The sequence below is a fragment of the Homo sapiens genome, chromosome 5 (genome assembly GCF_000001405.40).
Source record: "Homo sapiens chromosome 5, GRCh38.p14 Primary Assembly".
In the NCBI taxonomy this organism is placed as follows: Eukaryota; Metazoa; Chordata; class Mammalia; order Primates; family Hominidae; genus Homo; species Homo sapiens.
The window spans coordinates 16,596,539-16,614,701 of record NC_000005.10 but is presented as its reverse complement, the minus strand read 5'-3'; the positions used below and the strand labels follow the sequence as shown (position 1 = coordinate 16,614,701).

General features: G+C 45.0%; 1 protein-coding gene across 2 annotated transcripts in view, besides 1 other annotated feature; it reads left to right on the top strand.

Annotated features, from left to right (window-relative positions):
- The window catches only part of RETREG1 (reticulophagy regulator 1), a 143,945-nt gene that overhangs the window by 2,296 nt on the left and 123,486 nt on the right, over window positions 1-18,163 (top strand). The gene's annotated exons all lie outside the window — the stretch shown is intronic.
- Window positions 7,930-8,146: a silencer, noted in NCBI's record as "fragment chr5:16606665-16606881 (GRCh37/hg19 assembly coordinates)". NCBI's record gives its function as "represses an EF-1alpha promoter that drives an FKBP-Casp9 reporter gene in an ReSE screen in HepG2 liver carcinoma cells {active_cell/tissue: HepG2}" and the evidence as "EXISTENCE:reporter gene assay evidence [ECO:0000049][PMID:32094911]".

Below are 18,163 nucleotides of genomic sequence, written 5' to 3'. Positions count from 1 at the left end.
ATTTTGCATATATGCAAGTATTTTAGAGAACTTCCCAGAAGTGGAATTGCTGGGTCAGAGGGCATGTGCACTTGTAATTTTGATGGCTGTCACCATATTGCATGCAGCTCCTTAGGGTTCTAACAATTTATACTCCCACCAGCAATGTGTATGACTGCCTGCTTTGCCACACTCTTGCGAAGAATATTTTATGAAACTTTTTGATCCTGCAAATCTGATAGGTGAAAAAGACTATCCCAAAATGATTTTATTTTGCAGTTCTCTGTGATTGAGCATTTTATCTTATGTTTAAGAACTACCACATTTACCATTTATCAGCATTGTTTGTTTATAAATAACCTTTGTCTATTTTTTCAAGTAGGCCAGTGTTCTTTTCCTTATTGATTTATAGGAGCTGTTTTTATATTAAAGACTTTAGCCTAATTTCTGTAACATGAGTTGCAAACTTTTTTCTATGATGTTTTCTTTAATGACACCTATTGAAAATAATGTTTTTGCATAAAATAATTGAAAGGCATATTTGATAGTATCCAGGGGTGTTTTCTTCCATCCATTTTATTTATACTGACGGAGAGGAAAACATTGGCCAGCCATTCAGCCTAGATACAGCCTTCTCCTTATCTGTTTTATTTCATCTCCTGTTTGTGGCATCTGCATTCCATGCATGTATTTTCTTTGACAAAAATGACTGTCCTGTTCTTTAAGTTCAGAATTACTTGTTGCTTTTGCATTATAATTCATTGGAATTTATGACCCATTTATTAATGTCATTAAAATTTTGTTTTTTTTTCCCTTTTATTTGTTGCTCTGGGGGTTAAAATGATTTTCAAGGACATTACGTTTTCTTTAAATAATGTATTTCTTCTCAAATGATCTTAAATTATGTGATACTCTAACCTTCTGTGTCTTGGGAACTCTAAAGCACTGTATTTTCTATGAGAAAAAAAGATCAATTTTAAAACTGTGGGGAACCCAACCAAATCTGTCTTAAGCAATGGGATGTTGTTTTCACTTTAATTGATGTATTTCATTTTTGTGGAAGTAAACTTTTTAAAGATATATTTTTGAATGATTTAGCACCTGGCATTAGCAGTGGGTTTTAGGAGTCTGAATTTGACTCAAAAGCTTCAACATTTATTACCTGCCCATTATCTGCAAGATTTTGGGCAAAAATTGTGACACAGCCGTAACCAATGGGTATAACTAAAAGTTGCATGAATTAAGTGTGGTGGAAGATTCAGGAAAGGATAATTCATTTTGATATGGTTTTGGGGAACGTGGTATTGTGGATGGAAGAGATTGTGGGGTTCTTAATAAGGAGATCATGCTTAAACCTCAGTGGATAAGAATGATTTGGGAGATCTAGTAGATGATCAAGAGCATTCTAACCCTGAGGAATACAATGAACACAATAGCATCTTGAAGGTGTACCTAATATTTCAACCACTACACAGTAAACAGATGCAATGGCAGCATGGGCTGGTAGAAAATGTAGTGGGAGATAAGGTTGGCTAGGTGGTTTGTGGGGGCAGTAGTTGCCTCAGATGCTATGTTGTGTGTTTGGATTTGTTTTTTCTGTAGGCAACAGGGACCAAAAAAAAAAATACTTTGTAGAAGTATCCACAAATAATTTAATGGATAAGTACACTGTGGTTCATTTATTTATTATAAATTGTGATACCATATAACAATGAAAATACAGCTTTAGCAACAACAGGGATGAATTTTACAAATGTAATTTTGGTCAAAAGATGCACAAAGTAATATATGCTGAATGATTCAATTAAGTTTTAAATGGTGCAGGAACTGAACAGGATTGGTTAGGGATACACACATAGGGGATAAAACTACAAAGAAAATAAAAGACATTCTCGAATCCGAGACGTGCAGGCACACACACACACATATGCATTCTTATCTATGGTATATTTTATGAAAAATACTGAAATATGAAAAAATGCTAAAAAATGATATTCATGAGAACTCAGAGGAGTTTGGTAAAATAGAGGCCACATAGAGTGCCTGTCTCAAAAAGCAGGGTTTCCACAACTGAAGTAGATTGGGTAACAGTCCCATAGTTTTGTGGTGATGAGGGGCCTCAGATAATACTATCTCACTCATTTCACCAATGAAGAACATGTTTTTAGAATTTTTTCCTTCATTTAAAATTTTATTTATTTAAAAATTAACTAACATAGCCTTACAGTTCAGATGTTTAAATGTACAGAAGGGTAAACATTTTGATGTCTTCCCACGCCTGTCCCTGTCTACGCAGTTTCCTCTCAGAAGCAACCCATGTTGTACTTGTAAGCACATCCTGAAATGGAATGAGCCCAATGTAATAGAAAATGTTGGTTTTTTTTTAAATATCAACTTTTTGTGGTTTACCACCAATAAAATGCCCATACTGTAAGTATACAGTCAAATGTATCATATGTGCCTGTGTAACCATACTGGCAGTTGAGATCTAGAATATTTCATCACCCTTAAAGGCTTCTTTGCATCCCTGTTCTATCAGCACCCACCCCTGGGGACTGATCTGTTTCTGTCACTGTTGACTAGGTTGGACTTCCCTAAAGCTTTGTATAAATGGTGTTATTTAGGGTGATAGGGTGATGTCCTTTTTTTTTTTTTTTTGAGACGGAGTCTCTCTCTCTCTCCCAGACTGGAGTGCAGTGGTGCGATCTTGGCTCACTGCAACCTCCACCTCCTGGGTTCTAGCGATTCTCCTGCCTCAGCCTCCCGAGTAGCTGGGACTACAGGCACATGCCACCAAGCCTGGCTAATTTTTGTATTTTTAGTGGTGACAGGGTTTCACCATATTGGTCAGGCTGGTCACGAACTCCTGATCTCAGGTGATCTGCCTGCCTCAGCCTCCTAAAGTGTGTGATGTCTTTTGTGTCTGGCTTTGCTTACTCAGCGTAGTTTTGTGATTCATCTCTGCTGTGTGTATCAGTTATTTGCTGCTTTGTATTGCTGGGTAGTGTACCACTTTGATGATGTACCACAATTTGTTTATCCATTTGCTAGTTGATGTTCCTTCAGGTAGTTTTCATGTTTGACTATTATGAATAAAGCTATTGGAAAACATCACGTAGAAATCTTTGTGTGAAGTGTCTGTTTTTGGTGAGGAAAGTGGTAAGCCCTGATGGTTGCCTTGGATAGGCACAGAATGGAGTGAAAGGTCCGTTTCCTAAGTCTTGCTGATCGCTGTATTGAAATTTAATGGCTTATGATGCAGCTCCTCTTTTGGGCATGTTACATCTGCAGCCTAGAAAGCGTCTCTGATGTGATTTTTTTTTTTATTCAAGTTCTAGGGTACGTGTGCACAACGTGCAGGTTTGTTACGTATGTATACATGTGCCATGTTGGTGTGCTGCACCCATTAACTCATCATTTACATTAGATGTATCTCCTAATGCTATCCCTCCCCACTCCCCCGACCCCATGACAGGCCCTGGTGTGTGATGTTCCCCTTCCTGTGTCCAAGTGTTCTCATTGTTCAGTTTCCACCTATAAGTGAGAACATGCAGTGTTTGGTTTTTTTGTCCTTGTGATAGTTTCCTGAGAATGGTTTCCAGCTTCATTCATGTCCCTACAAAGGACATGAACTCATCCTTTTTTATGGCTGCATAGTATTCCATGGTGAATATGTGCCACATTTTCTTAATCCAGTCTATCATTGATGGGCATTTGGGTTGGTTCCAAGTCTTTGGTATTGTGAATAGTGCCGCAATAAACATATGTGTGCATGTGTCTTTATAGCAGCATGATTTATAGTCCTTTGGGTATATACCCAGTAATGGGATGGCTGGGTCAAATGGTATTTCTAGTTCTAGATCCCTGAGGAATCGCCACACTGACTTCCACAATGGTTGAACTAGTTTACAGTCCCACCAACAGTGTAAAAGTGTTCCTATTTCTCCACATCCTCTGCAGCACCTGTTGTTTCCTGACTTTTTAATTATCGCCATTCTAACTGGTGTGAGATGATATCTCATTGTGGTTTTGATTTGCATTTCTCTGATGGCCAGTGATGAGCATTTTTTCCATGTGTCTTTTGGCTGCATAAATGTCTTCTTTTGAGAAGTGTCTGTTCATATCCTTCGCCCACTTTTTGATGGGGTTGTTCGATTTGTTCTTGTAAATTTGTTTAAGTTCTTTGTAGATTCTGGATATTAGCCCTTTGTCAGATGAGTAGATTGCAAAAATTTTCTCCCATTCTGTAGGTTGCCTGTTCACTCTGATGGTGTGATTTGGTTTTGGACCCATGGTTGGAGACCATGGCATTTAGAAAAGTCCATGCATAGGCCTTTTTCCTTAGTGCCTGTGGCATTGCATGATGATGGCATTACCTTCTATTGGTATAAATAGTAAAACTGTAGGAAAGTGATTTGCCTGAGGTGTCCACGCAGGGGCACCCCTGGCGGGAGACCTGGGTCACTCTGACTTTTCAGGCGTCTCAGGCTGGGCACCAGGCAGTCCTGAATGCCAGCAGGACCTACCGAGTCAAATTGTTTTGGAAGGTTGCAGGGTTCAACCTCCCACTTGATGTCAAGCACCCCTTCTCTGCCAGCCTGAATGGGGTGCCCCAGCTTGCGTTAGAGCCATGGCTCTCAAAGTGAGGTCCTGGGCTAGCAGCATCCACATCACCAGTGTCACCTGGAGATGCAAAATCATGGGCCTCCTCCACACTCACTGAACAGGAATCTCTGCAGGTGGGCCCAAAGCATCTGGGTTTTCTCCAGCTCTCTAGGTGATTCAATACATGTTCCAGTTTGAGAACCATTATGTTTGAGCACTTTCTGGAATTGTGAGCTGTCTTCTCCATAAGGCAGCATTTCCATTGCTGGGCGGCACTCACTGGTCAGTGTTTTCCTTACATGAAGGCCATTGCTTGATTGTCTCCGCAGCTGCCCAGGATGTAGGCCCCTCCCCAGGATCGCCCTTTGTGTGTTTCAAAATCCATTCTCTTCTTGGTTCCCACTGAGTCTTCTCTTCCCCGGCTGAGAAATCCTGGGCCCTTCCACTCACCGCTGTCCTGTCTCGTTTGCAGATCCTTCTGGCCGGGCTTCAGTTCATCTGTATTCTGCCTGGAATGCAGCATTCCTTAGGTGGCCTGGCCGCTGCATACTCTCTCCCTTCCTCCTGGATGGCGTCCTTCTAGCCTCACAGCCTGAGATAGAATTTCTTTACTACAGTTGACAATAACTCCCTTTTACAGATGCTACTATCGCTGGTTGTTAGACTCTTAAAAATAAGTAAATATATATCATTTAGTGCTTTGTCAAAGTATGGCTATATGTATAGTTATATACAGTTACAGTTATATACAGTTACAGACTTCAGTAAAGTCAAACTTTACTAAAGTTATGATAAAGGGTGTTCACATGTAGCATCGTATTTAAACCTTGCAGGAACCCAGTGAGGCATGTGTTGTTCCCATTTTACACAGGAGGAAACAGGAGGCCCAGAAAAAAGTTAACTGAACACCAAAGATGACGTTGACCGGTACTGTTCAATAGAATGTTTGTAGTGATGGACATAGTCTGCCTTTGCACTGCCTGTTATGGTAGCTTCCTGTGGCTGTTGAGCATGTGAAGTGTGGCTAGTGGGACTCGGAATGCCATTTGACTTTTATTTAAGTGTAAGTTTAAATAGCCACACAAGGCTAGTAGCTGCTGTGTTAGCATAGTCTTAGATAAGTGCTGAAGCTGGGTAATGAAGCAGCGTCCATTTTCCCTAAATTCAATGATTTTTCTACCCCATCTCTCTAAAGAAAAATAGGAGACTATTAGGGCTTACTTTTTTCAATATTACAGAATCATACTTAATGATTTCAGCACAGAGTGAAAAAATTATATTGGGAGAGGGTTGCTTCTGCATGAATGGGAAGGATCTTTTTAGACTGTCAGCCAGCCTGGTCCAAGTTCCTCGCCTTATCTTTGTTCCGTCTGAGTAGTCGGTACCTGTGAATGAGTGTCTGCTCCCTACCCAGTGTGGTCAAGGGGGTATACCTGGGCCCAGGGGGTATACCAGAAGCCCAGTGCCTGAACTCAGAGAGCCTACCCACTGGTTTAGGAGACACAGCTGATTTGGTGAATCGATTGAGAGAGTATGTCACAGTTCCAAATTGCATGTCATGGTCTCCAGGGCTTTACAGTTGAGGACAAAGTGGGGATGAGGGAGGTTTGGAATAGCTGATGAAAGTCTTGTGAGATTTATTGTATAAGCCCAGAAGAAAAGGTATAGTTTTAAAAGTGAGGTTAATGGTGAGCGATTTCCATGTAGGACAAACTCAGGAAGAAATGGGAGATGAGCACTGGATGTTGTCAGGATGGAGAGACTCTCCTGACTCACACTGAGGGTCTGTTTTGGGGACAGATAATTAATCTTGGGTTGCCGGATCCACATGAGATCTGAAACACTGTAGATGTTAAAAAAGGTTTGGTGAAATGAGCTGGACTAGAGGATATTCCCCTATGGTGAATAAGGTGGGGCTATTTAAAGACAGTGAGAGTGGGCCGGGCACGGTGGCTCACAATTGTAATCTCAGCACTTTGAGAGGCTGAGGTGGGCATATCACCTGAGGTCAGGAGTTCAAGACCAGCCTGGCCAACATGGTGAAACTCCATCTCTATTAAAAATACAAAAATTAGCTGGGCATGGTGGCATGCGCCTGTAATCCCAGTTACTTGGGAGGCTGGGGCAGGAGATTCACTTGATTTCGGGAGGTAGAGGTTGCAGTGAGCTGAGATCACGCCACCCCACTCCAGCCTGGACGACAGAGTGAGACTCTGTCTCAAAAAAATAAATAAAAAATAAAAACAGTGAGAGTGGAGGGGAGGGGAGGGGAGGGGAGATTTATGTGCTTGCTAGGGGGAATACCCAGAGGTGAGGCTGCAAATTCAAAGGGTGGGGCCAGGTTTTGAAGAGGTTACTATTGGACCATGCTAAGGAATTTGGATGACATGAAATAAGCAATACCCATCTATTACCCTAATATTAATACCATAATATTCCTCCCTTTCTTTCAGGACCTCCATTAAAATATACAACAAGTATTTCTTTTTTTGTTTTTTTAAATTGAGACAGAGTGTTGCTCTGTCTTCCAGGCTGGAGTGCAGTGGTGTGATCTTGGCTCACTGCAGTCTCCGCCTCCTGGGTTCAAGCGATTCTCCTGCCTCAGCCTCCCAAGTAGCTGGGATTACAGGCACCTGCCACCACACCCAGCTAATTTTTGTATTTTTAGTAGAGACAGGGTTTTACCATGTTGGCCGGGATAATCTTGAACTCCTGGCCTCAGGTGATCTGCCCATCTTGGCCAGCCGAGCCACCACGCCTGGCCAAAATATGACAAATATTTCCTGAGTGTGTGCTATATGCTGACACTGTTCTTGGTGCGGGGGATATAACAGCGGACAAACAGGTGAGATCCCTGTTCTCCCAGAGCTTATATTCTAGTGGTGAAAGTGGTAAAAAAAAATACAATAAACAAATATACAAAATGCCAGAAAAGGCCGGATGTTATGAAGAAAACTAAAGCAAGGACAAGGGATAGAGAGTGACAGAAGTTACTACTTTGTTGGGTGGTCATCATTGGCCTTTCAGGAAAGGACCTTGAGTAGACACCTGAAGAGCAAGTCAGGGAATGATCCAAGCAGGTAACTCTGGAGGGGAGTGTTCCAGGCAGAGGGAATGGCACACACAAAAGCCCTGGGGTGGGAGTGGGATTGGGGTGTTTGCAGGGCAGCAAGGAGGCCATTGTGGCTGGGGCTGGGTGAGCAAGGGGGAAACAGTGTTCATTCAGCTCAGAACTTCATGCCACAACTGTGCCAGAGGCTTTTTGTCAGCTTTCTGCCAGCCCCTCTGGATGAATTAGGGGAGCAAGAGCCTGGGGCGAGGCACCAGCTGGGACACCATTGCAGGAGCACATGGTGGTGCAGAGAGGCTGAGCCAAGGTAAGTGGGGTTGGGGAAGAGGAGATGGATTTGGGGTGACTCTGGAGATAAAATCAGGAGGACAGAATGATTTGGTGGGTAGGGGGAGAGAAAGGCTATGGGCTAGATGACTTAGGCTATGGGCTAGATGAGGAGTGCCTGGTAGTGACCTTAACCAATGCAAGGGTGGCTGAGGTTGCGGCAGGCTGAGGTTGCCCAGGTTTGGCCATGTTGCAGTGGACGTGGCTGTAGCTTACCAGGTGAATTATCCACGTGTCACTACAGTGACACAGACTGACTCTCAGAGTGCAGGTTGAGTTTGAAGTATGGAGTTGCATGTGTTGGAGTTTAGTCGTTGCAGCCTTGGGAACGTGTGAAATTTCCTGGGGAGAGCTGGGGGAGAGTGTTGGGGAGATTGAATTACCACAGTGGGTGACCAGAAAGAGCACCTTGAGAAGGAGAGTGGCAGCAGAGGGGAGTTCCAGGAGAGGGTTGTTCTGGAGCAGCCAATGTGGCGATCACGAATGTCATCCAGTACTTGACTTGCAATTGCTCCTTCCTGGCCTTAGCTGAAGCGATTTCTGTAGGGGCCTGGTGGTCTCCAATCACACCCGAAGGGGAGGACACTCTCTTCCTGTCTCCATGGCACCACCTCCTCGCTGCAGTATTGTGGCTCAGTGGAGGACATGGCTATCCACTCTATTTCTGGGCCTCTCTGTGTTTTGGTTCTCAGGCTGGCTCCTGACTTGGCCAACAGGAATTCAAGTAGTTTAGGAAATCTTTTCTCTCTGCCATGGTCTGAATATTTGTGTCCCCTTAAATTTCATATGTTGAGACCTTCTCCCCAGTGCATTAGTTTTAAGAGGTGGAGCCTTTAGGAGGCTATTAGGTCATGAAGGGGGAGTCCTCATGAGTGGGATTAGTGCCCTTATAAAAGGGGTCAGAGGTAGCTTGTTCACTCCTTCCACCATGTGAGGACACAGCAAGAAGGTGCCATCTGCAAAGCAGAGAGTGAGCCCTCACCAGATGCCAAACCTGCCAGTGCCTTGATCTTGAACTTCCCAGCCCCTAGAATTGTAAGACATGAATTTCTGTTACGCATAAGCCACCTAGTTAATATTTTTGCTACAGCCACCGAAGTGGACTAAGCACCCTCTCTCTAATGCTTGGCCTTCACCCCAATGAGATACCTTAGTTTGAATGTCAGAAGCTACAAGTCCCCAGTGTTTCTATTTGCAGACTCTTAACACCCCACTCCCTCCCATTCTTGTTCCATTCTCTAGATGCCTGGAGATGCCTGGGTGGGTATTCCAAAGGACACTAGAATTTGTGGGGAAAGGGACTATGGAGAGGCAAGGTCAATGATATGGTGGAGGAATGTGACAGCGTGAAGTTCTGGGGAGGACGAAGGGGCTAGGTGAGAAGGACGCCTTTTCTTCTGATTCCTGGGGACCCAGGGGAAAGATGGGTATACCTGTAGTCTAAGTGGCAAGGAGTCACATGTGTTGTCTGATTTCTCTCTGAAGGAGGATGGTAATCTACTGCAGTTGAGGAGGTTAAGGCAGGACAAGGCACCTGCAGAGACCGGCTGTAAGCTTTAGTGGAGAAGCATAAATGACTGGGGGAAAATGCTAGATTACACTTTTGTTTTGTTTTATTTATGTTTGGCCATTTCTTCAGTGCAGACATTTTATATCAGGCTCCTGTGTCTTCATCTTTGTCCTCATTGACCATTTTTTTCCAAGGTGCATATATAATGGAGTAGTACTAGTTTTAGTATTGTAGTCACCCCTATACTATATTAGTTTAACAATAAATGTCTTATGGGAAATTTCCCATTTGCTAAAGATAAATGAGTCCAAGATATCCATGTACGATTTCGAACGTACTTTTAGAAGCATGCAGCTGTGCAGTATTTTAAAATGTTTTGCCAAATGATTCAGTGTAGTGCTCTTTGTTTGCTGCTGATTCCAGTTTTTGGAAAGATTTTTGTCTCAGGGATGAAAAAGGCAATACCTAAGTGAAAACACATTGGGTGAGGTGTGGCCACCTCCACGCTCCTGACGGTAATCCTAGACTGGGAGAAAGAGCATGAGCCACCCACGGGAGGCTGGCCTCCCATCTCTTCCCAGACACTCACCAGACCTTTCACCTGAAAGATGAACTCAGATGACAGAGGGAGCTCTCCTGAGTTGTGGCCACGTGGACTTCCTGAGTTTCTAGGTAAAGCATTGTGGCTATTGTGTATTCAGCCATTCTTCTTTTGACAATTTCGTGGCACACTTTCTGTGGCCTTGCATAATTAACGGAATTCCTGCAGTGATCCTTGATAATAGCAGTGACCATTTGTGGGGCTCCTGCTTTGCTAGGCACTTGGTGGAGTTTCCTTATTTAATTATCACACCACACTGCAAGGTATCATTGCCCCATTTGGCAGAGGGGATATTGGGGCTCAGAGGATTTAAGTCACTTCTCCCAAGGTAAGGGTATTTGGCAGAATGGGGATTCCGATCAGGTTTCTGCTCCCCACCCCGCCCCAATAAGCTGGACTGCAAGGGGAGGTTGCTGGGTGTAATCAGAGCGTAATTCAATATGACTTCTTCCCTCTGCTTCTAGAAGACAGAGTTAATTTCTTTCTCAGATCAAGCCATCAGCTTTCACTCATAGAGCTTGCTATCTCCATCTGCTTTACAGGAAAAGGTTAATTTATTTTTCCAAGTAAAATTTCGGCACCAACTGTGGCTTCATCCCTGTAGAGGATTCCACCCCACCACCTTTGTTTTCCGTTTTAGGCATTGATTACCAAAGCAGGGTGTGTATTTCTGTGAGTTGTCCAGTGGCCCAATCTCATCATATTTCAGTTCCCTTTTGTGTGTGCTCTTTTGACCCAGGGTGGCGGGTGGGGGGTGGGTGGCCCTTTCCCTACAGGTAAGATGTCATGTGGGCTCTGGCCTGTTCTTAGCTGATTGCACTGCTTTGTGGTGTAGCGTGCTGTGTGAAATATGTGATGTGGGATGCGATCCCAGGTGAATCTAGAGTTTGGGGTACCGACATGTTGTGCTGAAGGAGCACTACTGCCACTCTGAGGGTGGGGTTGGGCTGGGGGGCTGGGAGGCATGGAGCCGTTATGGAGGCAGCACAGGAGAGGCCACACCCGCCAGTGCCTCTTCTCACCCACTCTGCAAAGCTGCGTGCTCTGTAGGCAGCCGCTCTCCCACCAGGACTGTGACCCCCTGCATCTCTGTTCCCTGCTCTGTCCCTTCCCTGTCATTAGTCTTTCCTGTCACCTCTTCAGCGAGGTTGTCCCCAGCCTAGACTCCATCTAGGTCTTGCTTGTTAATTTCAGTTTCAGATCTGCAAATATTCTTCAGAGACTTTGGTGCAACTTGAAGGTATTTTGTTAATTTTTCTCTGTGTTTGTTTTTCTAATCTTAAAGTCTTGTTAAAACTCTGGGTATATAATACTTATATCCCTTGGGTCAAAGAAAAAAATGAAAGCTGCAATTACAGAATATATAGTAAATGATGTGGAGAATACTGTGGATGAAGATCAGTCTCTCCCTCACACACACATACATCTTTAATATCAATTAATTCCACTGGGTTTTTAATTAAAATGCAGCAATTTCTTACCCTGTCTCACCTTACTTCCCAGTCCTGTTTCTAGGAGCGACTGTTGTTTGTTATGCTCTTGGCTCTATATTGACTTTTCTAAGTAAAATTCTGTTTTGTTTGTTTGTTTGTTTGTTTTTTGAGACAGAGTTTCTCTCTTGTTGCCCAGGCTGGAGTGTGATGGCGCCATCTCGGCTCACCGCAACCTCCTCCTCCCAGGTTCAAGCAGTTTTCCTGCCTCAGCCTCCCGAGTAGCTGGGATTACAGGCATGCTCCACCAGGCCCGGGTAATTTTGTATTTTTTAGCAGAGATGGGGTTTCTCCATGTTGGTCAGGCTATTCTCAAACTCCCAACCTCAGGTGATCTGCCCACCTTGGCCTCCCAAAGTGCTGGGATTACAGGCATGAGCCACTGCACCCGGCCTCTAAGTGAAATTCTTAAAATGCTGGTTTTTGATTCAGCAATCTAAGACATTAATTTTCTCCTGGCACCCCGATTCACATAAACTCTTCTCATCCCCCTTCCCTTGTCATGATATCAGAAGTTTGGGTTAAAGCATTATGACTATGTAAGTATTGTTCATATATAAGCTAAGTAGAGTGTCATGTTTACGTTTCCTTTCTTGTTCAACGTTGTTTTGCTGTTACTCTCAGAGTTCTCAGCCTCACGGTTCCCAGTGAATTGGGAAGAGTCCCAGAGTTCCCAGGAACTCGCCTCTTAGTTCCTCTCAGTTTCCATCCTTCTGTTCTGGTCTCCTCTGATACCCCACTGGGCTCGCTTTTCACTTAGCTTAGGACACGCCCATCGTCGTCGTTTTCCTTCTCTCCTGTGTTGGAGTCCCTGATACTGGACCCTTGCTTAAAACAGGGGGTCAGGACAAAGTCAACATCCTGAATGGGGAGGCCCCCATTTCTTCTTCTTGAGAATATTCATGAGAGTGTAAGGTTTTCTTCACATTTATCACGAGTTCTTGATTTCTGTTTGTTTCTCCTCTGTTCCTGAAGCCTTCCTTGGTGCACTCCTCTGTATGGGGAGAGCACGTTCTCTAGGTTTGAGAGAGTACAGAGGAAATACATGTTTTGAGAACTTGTATGCGGAAAACATCTTTATCCCGCTCTTGCTGTGGATTTCTTGTCTGGCTTGATTTAGAGTTCTGGGTTGGGAAGAATTGCCCTTAGAAATTGGAAGCATCGCCTCCTTGTCTCCTTGCTCGCTTCCAGTGTTGCACTTGAGCTGGCGAAAGGCCTGCCAATGCCTGATCTCTTATAGATGACCTGGTTTTTCTCCCTGGAAGATTCTGGGGTTTTCTCTTGATTATGGATATTTCAAACTGATAGACCTCTGTTGATATTTTTTTCATTTATTGTTCTTGGTTTTATGAACAGTCTCAGCTGGAAACTTATGTCTTTCAGTTTTGGAAAATTTTCTTAAAGTCTTTTAAAAATAATTTCCTGGCCAGGTATGGTGGCTCACGCCTATAATCGCAGCACTTTGGGAGGCTGAGGCGGGTGGATCACTTGAGGTCAGGAGTTCGAGACCAGCCTGGCCAACATGGTGAAACCCTGCCTCTACAAAAATACAAAAATTAGCCGGGTATGGTGGCGCATGCCTGTAATCCCAGCTACTTGGGAGGTTGAGGCAGGAAAATCACTTGAACCTGGGAAGTGGAGGTTGCAGTGAGCTGAGATCACGCCATTGCACTCCAGCCTGGGCGACACAGCAAGACTCCATCTCAAAAAAAAAGAAAAAAAAAAAAAGAAAATTCCTCCTCTTTGTTTTTTTTCCTCTTTTTTAAAAATTTTGTTTCTAGAGACAGGGTCTCGCTGTGACACTCAGGCTGGAGTGCAGTGAGATCATAGCTTAAGCGATCCTCCCACCTCAGCCTCCCGAGTAGCTGGGACCACAGGTACACACTACCATGCCTGGCTAAGTTTTTAAAATTTTTGTTAAGATGGGATCTTGCTGTGTTGACCAGGCTGGTCTCTAACTCCCGGCCTCAAGCAATCCTCTGGCCTCCACCTCCTGAGTCACTGAGATTACAGATGTGAGCCACCACACCCAGCCTGTTTTCTTCTTTTTCTGGAGATCTTACTGGTCAAACGTCAGACTTCTTGGATTGCTCCTGATTTTCTCAGTTTTTCTATTTTCATCTCTGTCTTCTGTTCTGCTTTCAGAAAGCTTCTTGTATCTTTTGCATTCTACTGATTTAAAATTTCTGGTCTCATTTTTTGTTCCAAGACATTTTCCTCATTTTTGATTTTTTTTCCTTTTAGATGCGTTTGTTTTGATTCTTAGATTTTTCTCTTCTTTAATAAAAAGGAGAAGATAGTTTATTCGAGGTTTTCTTGTGTGTGTTCTGAGTTCCTTATTTCTGTGTATTTTGTGTCTGTTAGGTGTTGAAGGCTTTCCTGAAATATCTAAGGGGTCCTCAGATTTCCTCTTCCTGTTTCACAGTAAAGGGCTCCAAGGCTGAGCGCAGTGTGCTGGGCTGAGGAGTGGCCACTTCACAGCGTTCACTGTGGGTCATCAGCATGCTGACCTCTCCTGTGGGGGCGGGGCAGGGAGGGGAAGCCTGACTCCGAGTGTTCTGGGAGCTGTGCCAGGGAGATGATGAACACGTGGGGGTCCCCATCAGAATGTGCCTGGCATCAGCTCCCTGTTCTCAGCGTGGTTCCTCTGCCCTGCTCTCTTCTGTCCTGTTACCCCCGGGGTCTGAAGCCCTTCCACTTTAATTTTTTCAGAGAACAACCTCCTACTTCTGTCGGGGTGGAGGAGAGGTCCTCTCTCCTGACCTTGCTGGGTGGGTAGTAAGATCTGAAGTTCTAACTGTTCATCATACAGATTTGTAGGCTGGGCACAGTGGCTAACGCCTGTAATCCCAGCACTTTGGGAGGCTGAGGTGGGTGGATCACCTGAGGTCAGGAGTTCAGGACCAGCCTGGCCAACATGGCGAAACCCTGTCTCTACTAAAAACACAAAAATTAGCCGGGCTTGGTGGTCTGCACCTGTAATCCCAGCTGCTCAGGAGGCTGAGGCAGGAGAATCGCTTGAACATGGGAGGTGGAGGTTGCAGTGAGCCGAGGTCACGCCACTGCACTCCAGCCTGGGTGACATCTTCACACCTGTCCTCGCCCCTGCCTTCTCCCAGTTCCTTCCACCCCCACGCTTTCCTGGGACCTGCAGCTCAGGGGGACGTGCTTTTGGGGGCCTTACCCTTGCACCCTTGCAATTCCCAGCGCTCTTTCTGCTGCTCGCTCAGTTATCACCCTGGAGCTTGCTTTCCATCTTCCAGATGTTTGTTGATATCCCCACTGTTGTCTCCTTTCCTGCTTGCTTTTAGCCTCATGCATGCATATCTTTGTCAGTATTTTTACTTTTGATTCTGGCGTGGTTTGGGGAGGAAGAGGAGAAAGATATGCATGTTCAGTGTGCCATGCCTGACCACAGGGCTGGCCTCCCTACCTGAATGCTGCTTCCAGCAGAGCAGAGAGCAGTCTGTTGCTTCAGGCATGTATCCCAGCACCGTGGTATATGGTAGGTGCTCAGTAATTGAATGGGTAAAACTTTAGTGACACCCTCTGCTTTTTCATCCACTTCCTCATGATTCCCATACTTTTGGGCAAGGTATCCAAGTTCTCTGCTCACCTCCCTTGAGAAGAAGAATTTCTCTTTTCCCATTTCTTTTCCAAAATACTGTGTGGTTGTGATAATTCCTATCCAATCCAAGTGCAGCACTTTATAGATTTTAAATTAAAAATTGGCGTGATGATAATTTATTACTGAGTAGTAATATGTGTCTAGATTTTGAAAAGTTTACTGATTAGAATATTAGTGAATGGAGTATATTTGGTTCTAGCTAGTCTCACTAAAGCATGAGAATGGCATTTCATTACAGCATTTCTTTTTATTTGTAAAAAATTTACTTATTTTTTCCTTTTTATTGAGACAGGGTGCTGCTCTGTTGCCCAGGCCGGAGTGCAGTGGTGTGATCTTGGCTCACTGCAACCTCCACTTCCGGGCTCAAGCAGCCCTCGCCCATCAGCCTCCTGAGTAGCTGGGACTACAGGTCTGTGCCACCACACTCAGCTAATTTTTAAAATTTTTTGTAGAGATGGGGACGCACTCTGGGGTCTCACTCAACTCCTGATTGAGCCAGCCTGGGTAACATAGTGATCCTCCCACCTCTCAAGTGATCCTCCCACCTCAGCTTCCCAAAGTGCTAGGATGGTGAGCATGAGCCACTGTACCCAGCCTGTAACATTTAAACAAATAGAGCATGATTTGTGAATGAAATGCCCCAGTATCAAACTCTAAATCGTAGGTGTCTTCAGCCTACCTTGATCTGACATTGAACTTTAACTGTAGTGGTCCTCCAAGATCTTGGTGGGGTCCATCACTTACAAAGGATGGTTATAAAGGATGGTTAAAGGTGGTTCTTAGTGTTTAAAATCTCTTGGGAGAGATGACATGGAAAGCAGCAACTAGTTTGGTATGACAAATATGAGTAACAGGTATCCAGGCTGCTGCTACTATGGGAAGGAACAGAAGTCCTCCAAATCTGGTGACTGCAGGGAGGTCACACTTTTGTGAGTTGTGAATGCTAAGTAGAAGTGGTTTGGGTGAATCAACGTAAGCAGAGCCTTCCAGGCTGAAGGAGTCACAAAGGCTCCGAGGGTGACAGTGAGTAACACGGCCCTGGTTTGTTTCATTAGCAAATACTCACTGAGAACATGGTAGGTAGAATCACTGTGCTAGACACTGGGGACACGGTGTCTTCTTCCCTCATGGAACTCACAATGTGGGGAAGAAACTCAGGTCAGATATCCTTTCCAGCACATTCTTTTAAGTGCCATGCTAGCGGTATGTAGGAAGGGCAGCCATGGTGGTTGTAGTCTGGAAAGACCTAGAAGAAGTGACATTTTAGCTGGACGTAGAGAGTCAGTAGGCGTTGGCCAGGTTGCTGGGGTGTGCAGGGGAAGGATTTGTTCCAAGCCCAAGGGAGCAGCATGTGTGAAAGTCCAGAGGGAGGAGTGTGGACTGCCAAAAATGTGCACAGAGTTCCGTGTGGTCGGGAGGTGGGGAGATGGAAGGGGAGGGGGTGAGGCAGGGCAGGAGGTAGGGCACGGTGAAGAGCCTGGAACTGGAGTGGAGGGGTTTGGGTTTCATCCTGAGTGCAGTCAGAAGCAGGGGCTGCCCAGTTCCCTCCAGTGTAGTTCCTTACCCCTGGGGCAAGGAAGTCGTGCCAGCGGTCACAGGAGGTGAGGCTGGAAAGGAAGCAGGTCCAGATCTTCAGGGGCTTAGGTACTAGTTCCAGGACTGGGACCTCTTTCAGGCCTGGAGAACTGACGGGCCATTACAAACAACCCCTGGCACTGATGTGATTGGTTCTTTGTAGAAAGCACTTGAGGGGCAGTGAGGAGGGGCATGTGGGAGACATGTTGGAGGCTGAGAGTGGGGCAGCAAGGGGAAGTCTGTTTTCTATAGGAAGCCACTGGTGGGGTCACTCTTGTGGGTGGGGGAGGACCAAGGGCAGTGCAGGTTGGAAGTGCCCTTCTCCCTGGGAGGGTTCTGGAGGTGTGGCTGACTTCAGGCTGAGTGTGGGGCCTTGCCCAGTGCAGAATGCCATCCTGAGAGAGACTCCTGGACTCCCCAAGGGTACTCAGAGTCCAGCAGAGAAAGGCAATGTGCTTTTTGTGGCACCAAGGTTAGGGGTTAAGATTTATGATGCTTTTGGATTTAATGATGAAGGTACAGTGACAAATCAGTGAATAAGGATAATGTTACAATTCAGAACTAATGGGTGTGGAGCACTTATCCCGTGTCAGATATTTTAGGCCGTTCACCTGTAGTGTCTCTTACTCCATATACATAACAACTGTTGGAGGAGGTAGGTGTCGTTACTAATATTCACAATGACACTGAGGCACAGAGAAGTCAGGTGACTTGCCAGGGGCACACAGCCACACTTGTGTGGTTGCAACTGTTTTACACCTGGGTGGCCTAATTGTAGTTTATCCTCTACTTGCTGGGTTATTTTGCCCATTATATGCATTTGCCAGCCTACTTCTTCAGGATTCTTTCCACGTCCTTTGGTGTAGATGCATTTTTCTGTTGTCTGACAAATGTCAGTAGTCTAACTATTGACTGATGACTTCTAGTACATAGGTAAGCAGAGAATCAGCCAGACTCCTGTCCTATTGTTTCTCATGCTTTAGATCTTCAGGGCAAGCTTAAAGCATTTCTTTTTGCCTTTTGTACTTCCAAGGCCCAACATCTGCTTGCGTATAGAAGCTGCATAAGATTTTTGTGGTCCATTCTCTAGTTGGACCATTCTTTAGGTGTGACACAGGGCTTCTTTGTCACGTGTCTCCAGGCACTCACACAGAAAACAGCGTGAGTGGCATTCCCTGGAGTTGCAGTGAGGTTGCCTGGCTGGATGTTGTGGGCTTTGCTGAGTTTTGCCCTGGAGGGTGCGTGTCAGGCCAGGTAATTGGCCTGGCTTTGTGGGAACTGCCGGATCCTAGAATAGGCTGTGCTTAACTGAATGAAAAGAGAATTCATACTTTGGTCTCAGCAGGACAACTTTCAAAACAAATATTCTAGTCTGTGA